Below are 23,313 nucleotides of genomic sequence, written 5' to 3' on the forward strand. Positions count from 1 at the left end.
CATGCATTTTTCATTTGAGCCTCAGTGAAGCAATAATATTCTAAAATTTTTTAAATTTTGTCACGTTTTAGTAAATTAATTTTTGCAGAAAGCTACATAAGGTTAAGCAAACAGTGTCAGCCTTGCCAGGACACAACAGGCTTCTCATAAGCCACGATGCTTCAAAATACAAGCCTAAAAGAGTGGAATTGCTTCACGCTCGTGAAATTAAGTCTCCCTTGTTGTGTACGGAATTTGTTTCTTCCATTTTTTATAGCAGTTCTGTGAAATTGGCTTGCTCTTAACAATAGGATTGACTTGTCAATATATTTTGGATGTACACGAACAGAAATAAGGACTAGAAATGCTAGCTTGCCCTTGCCGCTTGATGCAGAAGTCAAGGGTGAGCGAACAAGGGTCAGAGCTGAAATAGCTCACATGTCTGGCTAAAGAAACGGTAGTTGGCTACATGGTCAGCTCCCCAGAGCATGCCAGCTGTCAAAACATCTAGGAGCTGTCACAAAGGAGTGACAGGCAAAATATATAGTCATAAACTTTACACGTTCTAATCAGTAGAAACGTTGACAGTTATTTTAATGAATTACAAGATAGAAATTCATTAAAAATTGACAGTTATTTTAATGAATTACAAGATAAGCTTTTATTTATTTAACAAAACTATAACTTTTCCAGCATTGATCCCGTGACTATGGTCTTCCTCCCAGGAGCTGAAATACTAATAGATCAGTTACTGGCATAATTAGTCTCACCCCCACTCGTCACTCCATCAAAGGACTGATCATCTTTTTTGTTTTTCTCCCAAAACAGGGTCTCACTCTGTCACCCAGGCTGGAGTGCAGTGGCACGATCACAGTTCACTGCAGCCTCGACCTCCCTGGGCTCAGGTGATCCTCCCACCTCAGCCTCCCGTGGGACCGTAGGTGCACACCACCACGCCGGCTAAGTTTTGTATTTTTTTGTAGAGATGGGGTCTCGCTATATTGCCCAAGCTGGTCTTGAACTCCTGGACTCAAGCAATCTTCCTGCCTCAGCCTCCCAAAGCACTGGGATTATAGGCATGAACCACTGTGCCTGGCCTAATCATGTTTTAAATAGATTGTAGGCCAGGCGTGGTGGCTCACCCCTGTAATCCTAGCATTTTGACAGACTGAGGCGGGTGGATCACCTGAGGTCAGGAGTTCGAGACCAGCCTGGCCAAGATGGTGAAACCCCATCTCTACTAAAAATACAAAAATTAGCCGGCATGGTGGCACATGCCTGTAATCCCAGCTACTTGGGAGGCTGAGGCAGGAGAATCACTTGAACCCGAGAGGCGGAGGTTGCACTGAGCCAAGATTGCGCCATTGCACTGCAGCCTGGGCAACAAGAGTGAAACTCCATCTCAGAAAAAATAATAATAATAAATAAATAAATAAATAGGTTGTAGATACACTAACATTTACAGATTTTTTGTAAACTTTTGCAGAAGTTTATGTAGAGAAGAGGAGTGAGGTAACCTGCAAAAGGGACTGGAAGAACTAGATGTGGAAATCGTGTTTAGGGCCAAAAAGAAGCAATTTAAGAGCTACTGGAGGCCGGGCGTGGTGGCTCACACCTATAATCCCAGCACTTTGGGAGGCCAATGTGGGCGGATCACCTGAGGTCAGGAGCTGGATACCTACCTGGGCAACGTGGCGAAACCCCGTCTCTACTGAAAACACAAAAATGTATTGTGGTGGCAGGTGCCCGTAATCCCAGTTACTCGAGAGGCTGAAGCAGGAGAATTGCTTGAACCTGGGAGGTGGAGGTTGCAGTGAGCCGAGATCGCGCCACTGCGCTCCAGCCATTTGCAGCATTGCCAAGTATGTAAAGCTCAGCTCCTAAGCTCTTTTAAGACTCCGTCTCAAAAAAATAAATAAATAAATAAAAATTTTAAAAAAGGTTGAACGGTGAATTGAAACTGGAACTGAAAGCCTCAGGACAAGGTGAGAGGTGCTGAGCTGAAGTGAGTAACGTGCTGGGCTTGAAATAACTCAGCATCCGTAGTCCGTGCCCAGGGACCTGGAGTGGTTCCTGCGTGCTGCATGTCTGGCACCCCGTACTAGAGGGAGCAGAAGAGGGCATGAGCACACAAGGCACAGGCTTTGACCTTTGGAAGCCTATCCCATGGGAAATTTACTGAGGTGACAACAGAAGGAAGGGCCCATGTCTTGGGAGTGCTGTCATGGCCATGTTTCAGCACCATTTATATTAAACACACACACACACACACACACACACACACACACACATATATTTTTTTTTTTTTTTTTGAGATAGAGTCTCGCTCTGTCACAAAGGCTGGAGTGCAGTGGCACAATCCTGACTCACTGCAACCTCCACCTCCCGGGTTCCAGCGATTCTCCTGTCTTGGCCTTCCAAGTAGCTGGGATTACAGGTGCGCGCCACCACACCCAGCTAATTTTTGTATTTTCAGCAGAGACAGGGTTTCACCACGTTGGCCAGGCTGCTCTTGAACTCCTGATCTCAAATAATCTGCCCTCCTCAGCCTCCCAAAGTGCTGGGATTACAGGCATAAGCCACCGCGTTCAGCCATAAACACATATAATTTTTTAAACCCTCCTAAATCATTGCAGCGTACCTTTGCCAGCTATGTGGCCATTAACAACATCTCTGACCGAGCTGTTCCAGCCCCACCTTGCCAGCCGTCTGCAGCATTGCCAAGTATCTAAAGTTCAGCTCCTAGGCTCACCCCAAGCCAGCTCAGAACCTTCCAATTCTATGGAAAACACCTGGTAACTGAAGCTCAGCGTCTCAAAGGCAGCCTTGAATCCTCCCTTCTCCTCCACTGTCATCATCAGGAGCCAGGTTCTGTTTTTCCTTAGCACCTGCCCTTGTCTCTCCACGTCTGTTGCTGCCACCCTCCTGCGGCTCTGGCAGTGTTGTCAGGGGATGGAGCAGCACGCTGCAGGGGCTCTCATCTCCCCTGCCCCAGCCCATCTCATGCCCTCAGAGGGATGAATCTTACCACATGACGCTTCTCAGGGCTGCACCACAGCTTTCCCTAGGCGGAAACCTCCAATGCTATCTATCACAGGGGCACAAATTCTTCTGTAAGTTGCTATATGTAAAGGGCTTTGTGGGCCAGACAGTATCTGTTGCAATGAACCAACTCTACTCTACTTTTATTTATTTTATTTTATGTATTTATGTATGTATTTATTTATTTGTGTTTTGAGACAGGGTCTTGCTCTGTCACCCAGGCTGGAGTCCAGTGATGTAATCACAGCTCACTGCGACCTGAAACTCCCAGGTTCAAGTGATCCTCCCACGTCAGCCTCCCGAGTAGCTGGGACTACGGGCGTGCCCCCACCACACCCAGCTAATTTACTGTATTTTTTGTAGAGACAGGATCTCCCTAGGTTCCCCAGGCTGGTCTCGAACTCCTGGGCTGAAGCGATCCTCCCACCTCTGCCTCCCAAAGTGCTGGTGTTATAGGCGTGAGCCACCGCACCCGGCCAGGCTTTGTTCTTTATGGGGCTTATTTACATGGTTAAGGGTTTGCTCAGAGCTTGAGAACCTATTTATATTGTTCTCATATTTCGCAAATGTTTAAGGAAGCAAGAGAAAACTGCGAGTGCAAAAGACCAATTTCAGTTTTTAAAATTATCACTCTGAGAAAAGGACAATAGATATTTCTTAACCTGCTTAATTTCAGTGTTTATTAATCAGAGTGCTTTTATCTTAGCAGTGTTATTGCGCAGTTGTCTGAAATGAGAAAATAAATGGGGTTTAGGAGGAGTTAACATGCATGGTAGAAACTAAAAGTCAGGCTGTCTGGTCAAAAGTCTCAGCCTTGCCACTAATTAGCTGTGTCACTCAAGCATCTGAACTTCATTTTCCTTATCTGTCAAAAATGAAAAGTTTGGACAGATCCAGTGGGACGAAGATGAACACAAAATACGCGCCCTGTGGGAAACGTGATGTATTTATTTGCTTATATGTCCCACTCTCCTCCCAGACTGAAGCTCCTATTGCTAAGGTAGCACCTCCTGCATAGCTGGTGTTTACTGAGGGGATCATTCAATACTCGTAAGTAATATCCGCGTCTGATATGTAACAAAGCTGCAAAAAAAGGGGAGAAGGCATTAAATTCACTTGATAGGGCATATCTAGGTTGCTGCATGCTATGACAGGGAGACTGGCAGATTGGTACCATAGCGCTTGCTGCTAGTTTTAGCCCTTAATTTAATTTGCTGTATGATCAGCTGGGTGTGGTGGCTCATGTCTATAATCCCAGTACTTTGGGAGGCCGAGACTTGAGCCCAGGACTTCGAGACCAACCTGGGCAACCCAGTGAGACCCCATCTCTACAAAAAAAAAAAAAAAAAATTAGCCAGACGTGGTGGTGCACGCATGTAGTCCCAGCTACTCTGGAGGCTGAGGTGGGAAGATCACTTGAGCTGGGGAGGTTGAGGCTGCAGTGAGCTGTGATCGCACCACTGAACTCCAGCCTGGGTGACAGAGCAACACCCTGTCTGAAAAAATAACAGTAATAATAATTTGGCCAGGCGCAGTGGCTCGAGCCTGTAATCGCAGCACTTTGGGGGGCCAAGGTGAGCAGATCACCTGAGGTCAGGAGTTCGAGACCAGCCTGACCAACATGGTGAAACCCCATCTCTACTAAAAATACAAAATTAGCCGGGCGTGGTGGCCCACGTCTGTAATCTCAGTTACTAAGGAGGCTGAGGCAGGAGAATCGCTTGAACCTGGGAGGCGCAGGTTGCAATGAGCTGAGATCACACCATTGCACTCCAGCCTGGGCCACAAGAGCAAAACTCCATCTCAAAAAAATAAATATAAATAAAATAATAATAATAATAATAATTTGCTGTAAGATCTTAGAAGTTACTTCCCTAGAACCTTAAAACAATGTGTAAAATGTAGATAAACATAACTCCCTTAAAAAGCTCATAAAGGTCAAAGTTAGCATACTCTGAAATAATGGATGGGAAAATATGAAAGGCTACATTCTGTGGATAACTGTTACTAACATGGGTTGCATAAGACTGTACCTGCTGAACTGGCTTTACCATTCATTCCCCTCTTTCAGTTCATATTTTCCTTCAATTAAGTAGGGAAAAAAAAACAAAAGAAGCAGAGAATAGTCACTGTTAATAGACCAGCTTCCTCGGTGTGTCCATTCCTCCCACCACCTTCCTTCTTGGGGCTCACATGCAAATGGCCCCAGAGGGCTCATGGCCACAGCAGCGTTCTATAGGTGTCCTAGTTCCACTCAAGGGACACCCACAGCTCACAAAGTGGGAAATTCTTTCCCTTGTATTGGTTTCTAACACTTTTAACATCACATTTTCGCCAGGCATGCCAGCGCTGTAATCCCAGCACTGTGAGAGGCCAAGGCGGGAAGATTGCTTGATCCCAGGAGTTCGAGACCAGCCTTGGCAACATGGCAAAACACCATCTCCACAAAATCAAAAAATTAGCTGGGTGTGGTGTGTGTGCCTGTAATCCCAGCACTTTGGGAGGCTGCAGTGGGAGGATCCCCAGAGCCCAGCAGTTCAAGGTTGCAGCGAGCCGTGATCGCAGCACTGCACTCCAGCCTGGGCCACACAGCAACATCCTGTCTCAAAAAAAAAAAAAAATTTATTTTTCTCCACCTTTTTCTTTTTTTCAGGAGGCATCTCAATTGTTTCTTTCTTTTTTTTTTTTTTTTTTTTTTTTGAGACGGAGTCTCGCTCTCTCGCCAGGCTGGAATGCAATGGCGAGATCTCGGCTCACTGCAACCTCCGCCTCCCGGGTTCACATCATTCTCCTACCTCAGCCTCCCGAGTAGCTGGGATTACAGGCATGGGTCACCACACCCAGCTAATTTTTGTATTTTTAGTACAGACAGGGTTTCACCATGTTGGCCAGAATGGTCTCGATCTCTTGACCTCGTGATCCGCCTGCCTTGGCCTCTCAAAGTGCTGGGATTACAGGCGTGAGCCACCACGCCCAGCCACTTTTTTCTTAAAAAACCAGAAAAGCTTCCTCAGTATATAGTAGTCCCAGCTACTCAGGAGGCTGAGGCAGGAGAATCGCTTGAACCCGGGAGGCAGAGGTTGCAGTGAGCCAAGATCAGGTCATTGCACTCCAGCCTGGGCGACAGAGTGAGATTCCGCCTCAAAAAAAAAAAAATTAAATTACGAGTCCTCTCATTTCACTTTGTAAATTCTCGTTTGAAGTGTAGACAAGTGTCAAAGTATTTCACCAGCACATGAGGCAAATACAACTTTGTAATGTGACTTTGATCAACCTTTGAGGTTAAAATTTTACTTGGTAACGTTTCCTAAATAATTAAAATATATTTTCTAAGAGGCAGAATAAACAGGTGAATAAAATTCTTGCCTGCAAAGTGTGCAGTGTGGATGACAGCAACGTGAGCTCCCGTGGGAACATGGTGCTAATCTTGAAAAAATTACTTTGTGAATTACTGGATGCTATTGGGACCCTGTATTTGTGTTATCAGCAAATAAAGAAGTGATTCTCTCTGGGAATATTAGCCACAGTAAAATGTTCTAGACATCTCTTTATTAATTAAACAAGAGAAAAGGTAATTATAGTCTCTGCTAGGTCCCTTAAATCATTTCCTTTTTTAAAATGTCTTTTTATTTTGAGACAGGGTCTCATTCTGTTGTCCAGGCTGGAGTGCAGTGGCACGAACATGGCTCATTGTAGCCTTGAACTCCTGGGCTCAGGTGATCCTCCGACCTTGGCCTCCCGAGTAGCTGAAATTACAGGCATGCACCACCATGCCCGGCTAAGTTTTTTTAATTGAGATGGAGTCTCGCTTTGTCACCCAGGGTGGAGTGCAGTGGCGTGATCTCTGCTCACTGCAACCTCTGCAGCCTGAGTTCAAGCGATTCTCGTGCCTCAGCCTCCCAAGTAGCTGGGACGACAGGCATGCACCAACACACTCAGTTATTATTTTTGTGTGTGTGTATTTTTAGTAGAAAGGGGGTTTCGTCATGTTGATCAGGTCATTCTCAAACTCCTGACCTCAGGTGATCTGCCCGCCTCGGCCTCCCAGCATGCTGGGATCACAGGTGTGAGCCACTGCGCCCGGCTGTGCCTGGCTGTACCCGGCTAATTTTTGTATTTTTTTGTACAGACAGGGTTTTGTCATGTTGCCTGGGCTAGTCTCAAACTCCTGGGCTCAAGCAATCTGCCTGCCTTGGCCTCCCAAAGTGCTGGGATTTCAGGTGTGAGCCACTGCAGTGGCCTACTATTGTTATTTTTAGTAGAGATAAGGCATTGCTACGTTGCCCAGGCTGGTCTCAAACTCCTGGCTCAAGCGATCCTCCCACATCAGCCTCCCAAAGCTCTGGGATTATAGGCGTGAGCCACTCCACCTGGCCTCGGCATCCTGTATTTTATCTTGCAACTGTGAGGCAGGTGCAGTGGCTGTTGGGAGAAGGTAGTGATGTGGGGGAGAAATAGAACACTAAAACGAACCCCACGGGGAGCGAAAGCGGCCACTGATTCACAAACTATCTAAGGATCAGAGATAATTTCTTTCTTTCCTTTTCTTTTTTTTTTTTTTTGAGACCGAGTCTCGCTCTGTCGCCCAGGCTGGAGTGCAATGGCATGATCTTGGCTCACTGCAACCTCTGCCTCCTAGGTTCAAGCAATTCTCCTGCCTCAGCCTCCTGAGTAGCTGGGATTACAGGTGCCCGCCACCACGCCCAGCTAATTTTTTTGTATTTTTAGTAGAGATAGGGTTTCACCATCTTGGCCAGGCTGGTCTTGAACTCCTGACCTCAGGTGATCTACCCGCCTCAGCCTCCCAAAGTGCTGGGATTACAGGCGTGAGCCACCATGCCCAGCCACCTGGCCTTTATTTTTAAATTGTGATAAAATATGCTAACATGCTTGAGCCCAGGAGTTTGAGACCAGCCTGGGAAACATTAGTGAGACCCTGTCGCTACCAAAAAAAAAAAAAAAAGCATAACAAAATGTACCACTGAAACTTTTTTTTTTTTTTTTTTGAGATGGAATCTCACTCTGTCACCCAGGCTGGAGTACAGTGGCGCGATCTCGGCTCACTGCAACCTCCACCTCCGGGGTTCAAGCGATTCTCCTGCCTCAACCTCCCGAGTAGCTGGGATTACAGGTACATACCACCACGCCCGGCTAATTTTTTGTATTTTTAGTATAGACGGGATTTTACCATGTTGGCCAGCCTGGTCTCGACCTCCTGACCTCAGGTGATCCACCCGCCTCGGTCTCCCAAAGTGCTGGGATGACAGGCGTGAGCCACCGCGCCCGACTGGCCTAAACCATTTTTAAGGGCGTAAGTCAGTGCCACTATGTACATTAATAAGGTTGTATCACCATCATCATTGTCTATTTCCAGAATGTTTCCATCATCCCAAATAGAATTCAATCTTTAATACTCAAATATTTTAAAATTAAAATAAAGAACACTGAGACGAAGATAAACTAAATCCAGCTGGGCAACTTTTTCTTCTGAATAGGCAGACTCTCACTATCATATCAAACTTATATTCGTGGACATATATTCGTGTTGCAAACTCTGGAAGCACTCACCGAAGCAGATAAAGGCTTTTCAGAGGTTAATGGCCTGTGATGAGTCTTGCAACTAGACCGTGAATCCATCATTCCTGATTCTCACTCCTAATGACATTTTACTGGGTTGTCCAATGAGTTAATAAATGAAAAATTATATTAAAACTTATAAATGCAACATGTACCCTCTATCAGTATTTCCCATCATAAAATAATACTTTAAAAGTGAATTTGAGCCAGCTGCAGTGGCTCACACCTGTAATCCCAGCACTTTGGGAGACCGAGGTGGGTGGATCACCTGAGATCAGGAGTTGGAGATCAGCCTGGCCAACATGGTGAAACCCCATCTCTACTAAAAATACAAAAAATTAGCTGGGCATGGCGGCGCATGCCTGTAATCCCAGCTACTCAGGAGGGTGAGGCAGGAGAATCGCTTGAACCCGGGAGGTGGAGGTTACAGTGAGCCAAGATCAAGCCATTGCACTCCAGCCTGGGCAACAAGAGCAAAACTCCATCTCAAGAAAAAAGAAAAACAAGGTGAATTTGGGCTGAATGCGGCGGCTCATGCCTGTAATCCCAGCACTTTGGAAAGCCAAGGAGGGAGGATCAGTTGAGCCCAGGAGCTTGAGTTCCACCTGGGCAACAGAGTGAGACCCCGTCTCTATAAAAAAAATGCAAAAATTAGCCTGGTGTGATGGAGCTTGTCTGTAGTCCCAGCTACTCAGGAGGCTGAGGTAGGAGGATCGCTTGAGCCCAGGAGGTCGAGGCTACAGTTAGCTGAAATTGCGCCACTGCACTCCAGCCTGGGCAACACAATGAGATCCTGTCTCAAAAAAAAAAAAAAAAAAGAAACTGAATTTATATGGAATCACTGTTGTGACATTTTAACATCTTTTCTCTATAGTTATTGTACAAAGAATACCTTTTTTTTCAAAAAAATTTTCAAGAAAAAAATACTTTCAGGTTTTTCCACGGACTTACAAATATGAGACCGCTACAACAAATGTATCTAGCCTAGCAAAACATGAATGAAACGTTGTATGCAGTCTCTTTTTCTATTAGTCAGTGGCTGAAAGCCTTTGAAACAACCTGATGGGCGGTTGGTATTGTGTAAGACGGTGACCTAAAAACAGCCTGTCAGTTCCCTGCCATCCCATTTTTCAACAGCAGGGTGTGATCATAATGGGCTTTATTGACATCATAAATCTGAGAGCATGGATGGTATCCATTTCCAGTTGTTTAATTGAAGAAACGAAAGATCTTGTAATGTGGAGTTGATATGGAGAGTTTGTCGAGCTACAGTAAAATTTTGCAAGAGCTGTGACCTTGGGTCAGAAAATGACTGATCAAGACGGAACCTTTTGTCATACTGTGGAAGCGACTGTATTGACTTATTTTATTCTTAGCGCTAATGCCAACAGAGAGCACGAATTGCTTCTGACTGCTTTCTGTCTCAACCCAGAGTGACTCTGTGGGCAAATCAATACAAGTATCGTCTAAATAAGCTATGACTAAATAATAAAATATGATAAACTTTTATTATTTATTTTGAGACAGAGTTTCGCGCTTGTGGCCCAGGCTGGATTGCAATGGCACGATCTCTGCTCACTGCAACTTCTGCCTCCCGGGTTCAAGCGATTTTCCTGCCTCAGCCTCCCGAGTAGCTGGGATTCCAGCCATGTGCTACCACGCCCGGCTAATTTTTGTTTTTTCAGTAGAGATGGAATTTCGCCATGTTGGCCATGCTGGTCTTGAACTCCTGGTCTCAAGTGATCCTGGCCTGAGCTTTTCAAAGTGCTAGGATTACAGGCATGAGCCACTGCACCCGGCCTGTTTTCCATCTTCTTAATGTGATGGGTTCTCATAAGGGTGAACAGGTGGGCGTGAGCAACCTGGACCCATACAGGTGAAGCCACAGCAAATCATAGACGGTCCCTGGGTTTCATGGGTTTGGGAACAGCAAATCGCAGACAGTCCCTGGCTTTCCTGGGTTTGGGAACTTTATTTAGGATGTTTGACACAGTTGAGTGTAAAAGAATGATACATTTTCTCACAACTTGTAAGATTTGAGAAGTGCTGAAAGCCCTAGAGAGGAGAAAGAGAATGGTGGTGTCTATTAAAATGCAGTGTGAGATCATCTATGATTCATTTACATAAGATTTAAAAATAAGCAGAACAAATACATAGCTTTACAAGGTCCAGTCGTGGTTACTCTTGCTGAGGAGGGGTAGGCAGAGGAAGGGGAGTGAGGGGGGTTCTGGGGTGCTGGTTACCTTCTGTTCCTTGGTCTGAGCAATGGTAAATGGTCACCTTTGTGAAAATTCATTGAGTTGTACACTGATGGCTTGGGCACTTCTATGTGTATAATATTCAATACATTTTTTGAAAATGTAAAAATGGGCCAGACACAGTGGTTCACACCTGTAATCCCAGCACTTTGGGAGGTGGAAGCGGATGGATTGCTTGAGCTCAGGAGTTTGAGACTAGCCTGGGCAACATGGTGAAATCCCATCTCTACAAAAAATAGCCAGGGGTGGTGGCTCACCTGTAGTCCCAGCTACTTGGGAGCCTGAGGTGGGACAATCACCTGAGCCCAGGGAAGTTGAGGCTGCAGTGAGCTGTGATTGTGCCGCTGCACTCCAGCCTGGGTGACAGAGCGAGACCTTGTCTCAAAAAAAAAAAAAAAAAAAAAGGGCTGGGCACGGTGGCGGCTCGTGCCTGTCATCGCAGCACTTTGGGAGGCTGAGCCGGGTGGATCACCTGAGATCAGGAGTTTGAGACCAGCCTGGCCAACATGGAGAAACCCCGTCTCTACTAAAAATACAATATTAGCCAGGAGTTGTGGTGCATGGTGCTCACACCTGTAATCCCAGCTACCCGGAGGCTGAGGCAGGAGAATTGCTTGAACCCAGGAGGCAGAGGTTGTGGTGAGCCGAGATCGTGCCATTGCACTCCACTGGGCAACAAGAGCAAAACTCCGTCTCAAAAAAAAAAAAAAAAAAAAAGTAAAAATGTAGTATAGAAGAATCTTTGTCAGTCCTTTACAGAAAGTTGATATGAGAATTGTCTAATAGAATTTTAAAAATAGATGTTATTTTTTAGAAGAGTTTTAGATTTATAGAAAAATTGAGAAGCTAGTTCAGGGAGTTTCTATATGCCCTATGCCCAGTTTCCCCTATTATTAACATATTAGTGTGGGCCAGGCACAGTGGCTCACGCCTGTCGTCCCACCACTTTGGGAGGCTGAGGCGGGGGGATCACCTGAGGTCAGGAGTTCGACTATCCTGACCAACATGGTGAAACCCTATCTCTAGTAAAAATACAAAAATTAGCTCGGTATGGTGGCATGCACCTGTAATCCCAGCTACTCCAGAGGCTGAGGCAGGAGAATCACTTGAACCCAGGAGGCAGAGGTTGCAGTGAACCGAGATCGAGCCACTGCACTCCAGCCTGGGCGACAGAGCAAGGCTCAGTCTCAAAAATAAATAAATAAATAAAATAAAAAAAAAATATATTAGTATGGTACATTTATTACAATGAATAAACCCATATTGCTACATTAGTACTAACCAAAGTCGGTAGTTGATTCAGGTTTGCTTACTCTTCCCCTAATTTTCTTTTCTGCTCCAGGCCCCCACATCGCCTTTGGTCACCATGTCTCACTGGGCTCCTCTGGGCTGTGACAGTGTTTCTGGTGACCTGGACGGTTTTGAGGAATGCTGGTGTGGGATCGTATAGGAGTTCGAGACCAGCCTGGCCAACATGGTGAGATCCTGTCTCCACTAAAAATACAAAAATTAACTGGGCCTGGTGGTGTGTGCCTGTAATCCCAGTTCAGGCGATTCTCCTGCCTCAGTCTCCCAAGTAGCTGGGATTACAGGCACCCGCCACCACGCCCGGCTAATTTTTGTATTTTTAGTAAAGACAGGGTTTCACCATGTTGTTCAGGCTGGTCTCAAACTCCCGACCTCAGGTGATCCACCCGGCCTTGGCCTTTAAAGTGCTGGGATTACAGGCGTGAGCCACCCCGCCCAGTTTGTAATTAAATTTTTTTCAGTCCACGTAGAAGACGGTGGTGCTGTCAGATGAAGCTGTCCTATGCAGGGGTGCTGTTTTTTGTTTTTTGTGTTTTGTTTTGTTTTGAGATGGAGTCTTGCTCTTGTTGCCTAGGCTGGCTGGAGTGCAGTGAGCCAAGATGGCACCACTGCTTTCCAGCCTGGGTGACAGAGTGAGACCCTGTCTCAAAAGAAAAAAAAAAACTTCTAAAAGAACATCATGGGGGAATAACTACGTTTTATTCAACTTCTCTACATGTAAAGTACCATTTAATGTTTTTAAAATTTTGAGTTGTCCGGGTGTGGTGGCTCACGCCTGTAATCCCAGCACTTTGGGAAGCCGAGGCGGGCAGATCATCTGAGGTCAGGAGTTCAAGACCAGCCTGATCAACATGACAAAACCCTATCTCTATAAAAATACAAAAAAATAGCCAGGCGTGGTGGTGGGTGCCTGTAATCCCAGCTGCTTGGGAGGCTGAGGCGGGAGAATCGCTTGAACCTGGGATGCAGTGGTTGTAGTGAGCCAAGATCTCGCCACTGCACTCCAGCCTGGGTGACAGAGTAAGACTCTGTCTCAAAAAAAAAAAAATTTAACTGGGAGCCCTACATTTTATCCGACAACCTGGGCTCAGGACCTCCCCCAGCAAGGCCTGGGACGCCCTGCCTCTGTGACTTCCTCACCAAAGCTCAGCAAGCCCAGCATTCTGGATTTCTTCCAGTGCTGGCAACAATTCAAGTTCTTTCCCGGCCCGGGGCCTTTGGGCAGCATGTTCTGTATTGCTGGAACCCTCTTCACATGCCTGGCTGCTTCTCACTCACAAGGTTTCAGCTTAAATGTCTCCTCCTTAGAACGCCCTTTCCTGAGCCAGCTGTGGTGGCGCCCTGTAGTTCCAGCTACTTGGGAGGCTGAGGCGGGAAGATTGCTTGAGCATAGGAGTTCCAGGCTGCAGTGACCCATGATTGCATCACTACACTCCAGCCTGAGTGATAGAGCGAGACCCTGTCTCTAAAAATAAAAAATAATAATTAATTAACTAAAAATTAAAAAGGGCCGGGCAAGGTGGCTCACGCCTATAATCCTAGCACTTTGGAAGGCCGAGGTGGGGGAGAACACTTAAGCCCAGGAGTTTGAGACCAACCTAGGCAACATAGCGAGACCCCATCTCTACAAAATAAGATGTGAAGTTTTCATTTAACATCATCAGTGGATCTTTGGAAACTGACTTTAAGCAAAACAAAGTAAAACAGGTCTTCAGATTAGGTTGTTTGTTGTTTCATTATAATGTTAACAAGGAAAAAAAATAGTTTTTGTTACATGTCGTTTTCCTTAAAGTTGCAGTTTCCAAAAGCCTATAGTGAGGACTGGCTGTAATTAGTGAAGAAGAGGACGTGCTGGATTCGAGCGGGCTCTGCCGCCAACGGCTGATGCTTTAGAAGAAGGACGTGCGAGGTCCAGCGTGGTGGCTCACGCCTGTAATCCCAGCACTTTGGGAGGCTGAGGTGGGTGGATCACCTGAGGTCGGGAGTTCGAGACCAGCCTGACCAACATGGTGAAACCCCGTCTCTACTAAAAATACCAAAATTAACCAGGTGTGGTGGCGCGTGCCTGTAATCCCAGCTACTCAGGAGGCTAAGGCAGAAAATCGCTTGAACCTGGGAGGCGGAGGTTGCAGTAAGCTGAGATTGCACCATTGCACTCCAGCCTGGGTGACAGAGCAAGACTCCATCTCAAAAACAAACAAAAAAATTAAGTTATGTCGAATTATATTTTCCTAGGCATCCAGAACCTTCCAACATGAATTCATGGTAAAGGAAACACCTAAATATTGTTTCTGGCAATCTCCTGTTTTGTAAAGTCTGTGTTAAACTTTTATTCCCCGACTAGCATTGGAATCACTGTAGAACACATAGATTTGGCGTGAGATGGCTTCATTGTGAACGAGTTCCCGTTTATTGTGTCAAAGTCAAGCCATTGAGCAGCCAGGTACGGATGGGCCAACTGCCGAGCCACGGTGGAGAAGGTGGAGAAGAGCGATGGAGTTCTCAGCGAAATCAGAGCTGCCTCGGTGGGTTTCGAATCAGAAATTCCTAAGGGTAACCCTACAGTGAGTGCATAAAGCCACTCAGTGTAATCAGTAGCGTACGACGTCTGTACAATTTGCATAAGATGCACAAGTTGCAATTTGGTTTCAGACTTTTTGTTTCTTTCTTTTTTTTTTTTTTTTTTTTTGAGTCAGGGTCTGGCTCTGTTGCCCAGGCTGGAGTGCACTGGTGTGATCTCGGCTCACTGCAACCTCTGCCTCCTGGGCTCAAGCCATCCTCCCATCTCAGCCTCTCAAGTAGCGGGGACTACAGGCACACACCACCACACCTGGCTAATTTTTGTATTTTTTGCAAAGAAAGGATTTTGCCATGTTGCCCAGGTTGGTCTTGAACCATTGAGCTCAAGCTATCCTCCGGCCTCAACCTCCCAAAGTGCTGGGATTACAGGCATGAGCCACCACGCCCAGCCTGGTTTCAGACTTTTATAAATAACGTGTGTATTATTTCCTCTAAATAGCTTGATTGTTTTTCTTTCCTTTTTTTTTTTTTTTTTTGAGACGGAGTCTCACTTTGTCACCCAGGCTGGAGTGCAGTGGCGCGATCTTGGCTCACTGCAGCCTCAACCCCACAAGCTCAAGCAATCCTCCTGCCTCAGCCACCTGAGTAGCTGAGACTACAGGCATGCGCCATCACACCCGGCTAAGTTTTATATTTTTAGTAGAGACAGGGGCTTCACTATGTTGGCCAGGCTGGTCTCGATCTCCTCACCTCAAGTGATCCACCCACCTCGGCCTCCGAAAGTGCTGGGATTACAGGTGTGAGCCACTGCACACAGCCCTAAATTGGGTTTTTTGTTACAGGTGGATGGAGCTGAATTCCTGAGGAAAAGCTCAACTCAGTTATGGACGGATCTTGTTCCTCCCTATCAGGGGATCCCCAAGGAGAACGCTTGGCGTGTCCTCCTTTGGTCCAGCCTGGGTTGCAGCTTCGATGCTCCCTCTGTGCAGGGGGGAAGGTACCTGCAGATTGCCCATCTGTACCCCAGGATTTAGGGGACACCTGATGAGGTATTTGTGTTTAATCATCATCTTGATGCGGACGCTTTTAGGAACAAGGACTGAGACTGGGAGGGATTATAAATAAACACTCAAATGACAGGAAATCTTCAGCTGTCTTCCACCATCACTCTTCTAAAACATTAGTGCTTCATCTCGATAACGAAACAATGTCAGTGCATCCTGAGAGCATGTGGCTCACGTCTGCATTCGAGGCTGTGCACATTTAACCAGGCTGTTTTGAATATTAGACTCTTTTATCAGATCTTCCGACCATCCGCTTTCTGCTGCTCACAGACCTTAGGTTTCAGAGAAAAGGCTCCTGGATTTCAACGCAATCCATTATCTTCTGTGGACACATGAGGCAAGCAACCTATGGGAGACTTTTTTCTCTTTTTTCTTTTTTCTTTGCCTTAAAAAAAATCTTTTGTTGGAGCTTGCTTCACTAGTAGGAAAGCTGACACCTGTGTAGACAGGTTGTCTGCACCCACTCACAAATTCATTCATGCGTCATGTGCTTTTTGGAGCCGGCATTGCCCTCATCTTTGAGGAGCTCACAATTGGAAGGGAGGGGAGTATCCACACGGTGGAGGTCCCCAGTGGCTTAGTTACATTTGGTTGGGGGTTAGGAAGTAGAGCAAACACAGGGCTTGGCTTAGCACTGCTCCCAAGTTGCTGACATTTATTTTTACTAATCGTCCCTTAAAAAAAGAATCAGGAGGCTGGGTGCAGTGGCTCATGCCTGTAATCCCAGCACTTTGGGAGGCTGAGGCGGGCAGATCACCTGAGGTCAGGAGTTCAAGACTAGCCTGGCCAACATGGTGAAACCCCGTCTCTACTAAAATATAAAATTAGCCAGGCGTGGTGGTGCACACCTGTAATCCCAGTTACTCAAGAGGCTGAGGCAGGAGAATCGCTTGAACCCAGGAGGCAGAGATTGCAGTGAGCCAAGATCACGCCATTGCACTCAAGCCTAGGCAACAGAGCAAGACTCGGTCTAAAAAATAAAAAAATAAGAATTACACTGGGTATGGTGGCTCACACCTATAATCCCAGCACCTTGGGAAGCCAAGACAAGAGGATCACTTGAGCCCAGGAGTTTGAGACCAACCTGGGCAACATAGCAAGCCCTCATCTCTTAAAAAAAGTTAAACTTTAGCCAGGCATGGTGGTGCACACTTGTAGTCCCAGCTACTTGGGAGGGTGAAGTGAGAGAATCGTTTGAGCCCATGATTTCGAATTCCACATGATCAATTGCAAACTGACTTTTTTTTTTTTTTTTAGATGGAGTCTCACTCTGTCTCCCAGGCTGGAGTGCAGTGGCGCGATCTCAGCTCAATGCAACTTCCGCCTTCTGGGATCAAGCGATTCTCCTGCCTCAGCCTCACCAGTAGCTAGGATTACAGGCACCCGCTACCACAGCCGGCTAATTTTTGTATTTTTAGTACAGATGGGGTTTCACCATATTGACCAGGCTGGTCTCGAATTCCTGACCTTGTGATCCGCCTCCCTCGGCTTCCCAAAGGGCTGGGATTACAGGCGTGAGCCACTGCGCCCGGCCACTGATTTGTTGTTGATGTTGTTGTTGTTATCAGTGTTTTCTTTTTTTTCATTATTATTATTATTTATTTTATTTTATTTTATCATGCTTTAAGTTTTAGGGTACTGTACTGATTTTATACCCAACTCATTCCAGGATTCTTGCAACACACTATGCTGATGTACAAAGATGAATAAGACATGGTCTCGGCCGGGCACGGTGGCTCACGCCTGTCATCCCAGCACTTTGGGAGGCTGAGATGGGCAGATCAGGAGGTCAGGAGATCGAGACCATCCTGGCTAACACGGTGCAACCCCGTCTCTATTAAAAATACAAAAAATTAGCCAGATGTGGTGGCACATGCCTGTAGTCCCAGCTACTCGGGAGGCTGAGGCAGGAGAATCACTTGAACCCAGGAGGCAGAGGTTGCAGTGAGCCGAGATTGTGCCACTGCACTCCAGTCTGGGCGACAGAGCGAGACTCCATCTCAAAAAAAAAAAAAAAAAAGACATGGTCTTACTGATCAGAGGGTAAAGCAGGGAAAATTTGGGTTGCCCCATCATCGAGCATCAAGTAGCATTCCTGGGACTTGTATGCAAAGACGAGAAAGCCTGGGAGATGTGATGTGCAGATACAGTATGGGCTGTGCTGGCTTGTGGAAAAAGACAGAATAGCTGGGTGCAGTGGCTCACATCTGTAATCCCAGCACTTTGGGAGGCCGAGGTGGGCAGATCACCTGAGGCCAGGAGTTTGAGACCAGCCTGGCCAACATGGCAAAACCCCATCTCTACTAAAAATACAAAAATTAGCCTGCGTGGTGACGAGTGCCTGTAATCCCAGCTATTCGGGAGGCTGAGGCAGGAGAATCAATTGAACCCGGGAGGTGGAGGTTGCAGTGAGCCAAGATCGTGCCACTGCACCCCAGCCTGGGCAACAGAGCGAGACTCTGTCTCAAAAAAAGAAAATGAAAAAGACATGCTTAAATTTTAGCTTCCATTTCTCATCTTCTAAAGCCATGCTTCTCAAACATGAGTGAGCAGACCCAGGAATCTTGTTAAAATGCGGATTCCGATTCAAGGGGCCTGGGAGGAGCCTGAGGTCCTGCCTTTCAAACCAGCTCCCAGATGGGGCTGATGCTGACACCAGTAAACTCCCTTTGCACACAAGCCTGTTTAGGCTGGGTCTTCTCCAATTTGCACACACAGTATCCCAGCTATGACATTCAGAAACATCAAGCTTGTTCTTTCCTGCCCCTTGATGCTGCTTTTTGTTCTGTGTCTTCTCTTGAGCCCCTTGGTGGTGCTTTTTGTTCTGTGCCTTCTCTTAAGCCCTGCCCTCTGCTTGGAATGCTCTCTGCCACCTCTTCACTCCTCCTCCAGGAAACCTTCCTTGACTGCCTGCTCTCTGCCCTGCGAGGACTCTCGGGAGCAGACTTTGAGGAGCAGGCTCCAGGGCAGAGGTTCTTGGCCTTGGCTACAAATTAGAATCACCTGGGAGCTTTAAACCACCCACTGTCACACCCCAGACCAATAGAACCAGAATTTCTAGGAGTGGGACCCAGCACCGGTGTGAGAAGTAGGTCACAGGTGTCTCTCATGCACAACATTTACAAAGTATCGACGGCATCTGATGTCTCCAAACCAGTTGGTAAAATTCACTGTAGCAGTTCATCACAGTCAGGTGCCGCGGCTCATGCCTATAATCCCAGCACTTTGGGAGGCTGAGGCAGGTGGATCACTTGGAGCCCAGGAGTTCAAGACCAGCCTGGGCAACATGGTGAGACTCCCATCTCTACAAAAAACACAGAAATTAGCCAGGCGTGGTGGTGCACGCCTATTGTCCCAGCTACTCAGGAAGCTGAGGTGGGAGAATTGCTTGAGCTTGGGAGGTGGAGGCTGCAATGAGCCGAGACTGCACCACTGCACTCCAGACTGGGTGACAGAGCAAGACCCTGTCTCAGAAAATAAAATAAAATTTAATTTTTTTAAAAAAAGGCCAAGTGTGGTGGCTTACACCTGTAATTCCAGCACTTTGGGAGGCTAAGGCAGGCAGATCACTTGAGGTCAGGAGTTTGAGACCAGCCTGGCCAACATGGCAAAACTCTGTCTCTACCAAAAATATAAAAAATTAGGCAGGCGGCTGGGCGTGGTGGCTTATGCCTGTAGTCCCAGCACTTTGGGAGGCCAAGGCAGGCGGATCAGGAGGTCAGGAAATCGAGACCATCCTGTCTAATATGGTGAAACCCCATCTCTACTAAAAATACAAACCATTAGCCAGGTGTGGTGGCTCGTGCCTGTAGTCCCAGTTACACGGGAGGCTGAGGCAGGAGAATCGCTCGAACCCGGGAGGTGGAGGTTGCAGTGAGTCGAGATCATGCCACTGCACTCAAGCTTGGGTGACAGGCAAGACTCCGTCTCAAAAAAAAAAAAAAAGGCCCCAAGGCCCTCATCTGCCCCTTCTGCCATGCGAGGACAGTGAAAAGATGGCCATCGAGGAGGGGGCCCTCACCAGACACGGACCTGCCTGTCCTGGAGTGTGGGTGTCTGGCCTCCAGAGCGTGAGAAAGGCATTTCTGTTGCTTACATACCCCTCAGTTGATCTTGAAACAAGGAATTGTTTAAGGAAGGAATTAGGGCTGGGCACAGTGGGTCACACCTGTAATCCCAGCACTTTGGGAAGCCGGGGTGGGAGGATCACTTAAGCTCAGGGTTTCAAGGCCAGCCTGGGCAACGTAGGGAGACCTCACCTCTACAAAAAATTTAAAAATTAACTGGGTGCAATGGTGCATGCTGTGATCCCAGCTACATGGGAGGCAGAGGCAGGAGGATTGTTTGATCCCAGGAGGTGGTGGCTGCAGTGAGCTGTGTTTGCTCCACTGCACTCCAGCCTGGGCAACAGAGAAAGAGCCAGTCTTTTTTTTTTTGAGACGGAGTCTCACTCCGTCACCCAGGCTGGAGTGCAGTGGCACAATCTTGGCTCACTGCAAACTCCGCCTCCCAGGTTCAAGCCATTCTCCTGCCTCAGCCTCCTGAGTAGCTGGGACTACAGGCACCCCCCACCACGCCCAGCTAATTGTTTTTGGATTTTTGGTAGAGACAGGGTTTTACTGTGTTAGCCAGGATGGTCTCGATCTCCTGACCTCGTGGTCCGCCTGCCTCGGCCTCCCAAAGCGCTGGGATTACAGGCGTGAGCCACTGTGCCCAGCCAGAAAGAGCCAATCTTAAAAAAAAAAAAAAAAAAGTAATTTCCTATCTTTATAAAGGCCATAAAGGTAGGCCTTTATCAGTAGGAAGGAGGCAGAAGAGCCAAGGTCCAAGGGGAGCTGAAGACAGAAGTGCCCCTTTACTCTGATGGTCCTGAAATTAGCCCAGGAGCTCTGGCCAGCAACATGCTTTGGTTCAGGTGCAGACGACTGGGCCCAGCCTGGCGAAAGGGAACTCCCAATGCAGTGAGTAGACTCTGGTGGTGGCCTGCTACCACAGTGGCCTAGCTGGGTTCTAGGCCTGCTCTACCGTGAGCCTCTCCAGTCCACGGAAGGGAGGGGCACAGCTCTCCCTCCACACCCGTCCCAGGAACATCAACTCATTCCATCAACTAATTCGAAAAATGTTCTGGACAATCCGCAGTGGCTCACACCTGTAAGCCCAGCACTTTGGGAGGCTGAGGTGGGTGGCTCACCTGAGGTCAAGAGTTCGAGACCAGCCTGGCCAACATGGTGAAACCCCATCTCTACTAAAAATACAAAAATTAGCTGGGTGTGGTGGTGGCATCTATGATCCCAGCTACTCAGGAGGCTGAGGCAGGAGAATCGCTTGAACCCAGGAGGTGGAGGTTGCAGTGAGCCGAGATCGCACCACTGCACTCCAGCCTGTGCGACAGAGCAAAAACTCCATCTCAAAAAAAAAGAAAAAAAGAAAGAAAGAAAAGAAAAATGTTCTGGCCCCTCCCCTGAAAGCCGCCTGGAAGAACATCTGCCATTTGCTCTAATTAGATTAAGACACATGCAAGTGTCCTAGTCCCTGGAATAACCGCTGTTAAGAGTTCCCTTTGACATTTGCAAGGGAAGAATCCACACCCACATGTTCAGCCCGACCTGCTCTCAATGGTTTCCCTCCCGTGGGGCCTGTGTCTGGCCTGTCCTGGCCCCACAGGTAATGCCCCCGACCCGGAAGGCATTGTGGACCCAGATGTGCAACTGACCTGGAACACAGCTGAGTGATATCAGACTCAACATCAGGTGCAGAGCTGTTTGTTCTGTTGGAGAACATTCCAGAGGTTCCAGAAGCTGGCAGGGCTTGGGGCTCACCCGTGTTTCTGTGCCAGGAGCTCTCCCCAAGCACCTGCTGTGACTCAACAAAGCTGCACTGAGCACAAGCTTGGGTCAGGCCCCGCAAGGGGATCCAGGGAGGAAACACACAGACAGGGGGTCGCTGCCGTGGGGCAGAGAACAAACTGGTGCTGCCTGTGCCTGGTGGGCAGAGCCCGGGTTGTCGGAGGCACGTTCAGAAGCTGGGTTCACTCAGTCTGTTCCGTCATGGGATCAATGGGCCCCCTTGGAAAGTTCTGGAGTGAGGGAACCATCACTGAGGGTGTGCTAGTGGCAGTCCCGCTCTGTCCCCCAGGCTGGGTGCGTGGCGGTGGCAGTCCCGCTCTGTCCCCCAGGCTGGGTGCGTGGCGGTGGCAGTCCCGCTCTGTCCCCCAGGCTGTGAGTGCAGTGGCACGATCTCGGTTCACTGCACCCTCCTCCTCGCAGGTTCAAGCGATTCTCCGGCCTCAGCCTCCTGAGCGGCTGGGATGACAGGCGTGCGCCGCTGCACCTGGCCTACACGGCTTTTAAATCTTACATTGTGCACCAGAGAAGAGTCAAACAAAGCAAAATTAGCGGCAGAAAGCACCCCCTTGCTTCTCTGTACACACGACCCAGGTGTATCGCAGAGCAAACACAGTGAAAGTGTGCACGCTCGGGAAAGGCGCAGGAACTGACATTTTACCAAGGTCTCTGAAGGGGCAGAAAACAGGCCCCGAGAGGCACAGATGCCAACAATGATTGTCAGGAATCAATGGGAAAGCGTGTTTGTGCAGCGCTATTGGCATCTGATGTGTTTGTTATAATTGGCTCCCGCCAGCCCTGTCTCCTTTATTAATTGCACATATTCCTCTTGACGAAAGTGACATGCCGATGGCAGCGTTGTGGGCTTGAAGACGAGGGTGCCTTTCGATCTAAGCCTAAAGTCACATTTGTGACCCGAACCTAAGACAGAGAGGAGCCCAAAGGTCACTTCTCCTCCAGGAATGTCTGGATGGGTGACTTATTGGAGCCGCTCGCTTAATTGTACCACCTTGAGGTAGCCACATAGTGACAGTTTTCCTGGGTCCCTTAAACCATGATGTTCCATAGGATGACTCTGCCTGAAGCCCTCTGGCAGCTGGAGTTTCATTCTGCAGACGAGGAAAACAAGGCCATTCCGAGAACTTCCAGAATTCAACCACTCAATCCACCAATGAATGCTAAGATCGTGGGCTCAAGTTCAAGGAGAAACACGATGTGCACCTGATACCAAAGTATCAAAACAGAAACAGTGATCTGGCCGGGGGCGGTGGCTCACACCTGTAATCCCAGCACTTTGGGAGGCTGAGGTGGGCGGATCACCTGAGGCCAGGAGTTCGAGACCAGCTTGGCCAACAAGGCAAAACCCTGTCTCTACTAAAAATACAAAAATTAGCTGGGCGTGGTGGCGCATGCCTGTAATTTCAGCTACTCAGGAGGCTGAGGCAGGAGAATTCCTTGAACCCGGGAGGCGGAAGTTGCAGTGAGCCGAGACTGCGCCACTGCACTCCAGCCTGGGTGACACAGCAAGACTGTGTCTCAAAACAAAAACAAACAAAAAAGACATTGATCTTCTTTGAGGCTGGGCACAGTTGCTCATGCCTATAATCCCAACACTTTGGGAAGCCAAGGCAGGAAGATTGCTTGAAGCCAGGAGTTCAGGACCAGCCTGGACAATGTAGCAAGACCCTGTCACCACAAAAAATACAAAAGTGAGCTGGGTGT

At 47.7% G+C, this 23,313-nt stretch overlaps 2 long non-coding RNA genes across 2 annotated transcripts, besides 1 other annotated feature; one reads left to right on the forward strand and one right to left on the reverse strand.

Annotated features, from left to right (window-relative positions):
- Window positions 1-3,678: 3,678 nt before the first annotated feature.
- On the reverse strand, window positions 3,679-9,625 carry LINC00254 (long intergenic non-protein coding RNA 254). Its single transcript, NR_033914.1, has 3 exons — window positions 9,491-9,625; window positions 8,590-8,690; window positions 3,679-4,104 (listed from the first exon to the last, which is right to left on the reverse strand). It is a non-coding gene; the product is annotated as a long intergenic non-protein coding RNA 254 (long non-coding RNA).
- Window positions 9,626-14,507: 4,882 nt separating this feature from the next.
- Window positions 14,508-15,828, forward strand: LINC02124 (long intergenic non-protein coding RNA 2124). Its single transcript, NR_146568.1, has 2 exons — window positions 14,508-14,689; window positions 15,527-15,828. It is a non-coding gene; the product is annotated as a long intergenic non-protein coding RNA 2124 (long non-coding RNA).
- Window positions 21,392-21,893: an enhancer, noted in NCBI's record as "H3K4me1 hESC enhancer chr16:1945999-1946500 (GRCh37/hg19 assembly coordinates)". NCBI's record gives its function as "activates a minimal SCP1, AML or CMV promoter by ChIP-STARR-seq in naive H9 embryonic stem cells {active_cell/tissue: H9 hESC(naive)}" and the evidence as "EXISTENCE:reporter gene assay evidence [ECO:0000049][PMID:30033119]".

This window comes from Homo sapiens, chromosome 16 (assembly GCF_000001405.40).
Source record: "Homo sapiens chromosome 16, GRCh38.p14 Primary Assembly".
NCBI classification, from domain to species: Eukaryota; Metazoa; Chordata; class Mammalia; order Primates; family Hominidae; genus Homo; species Homo sapiens.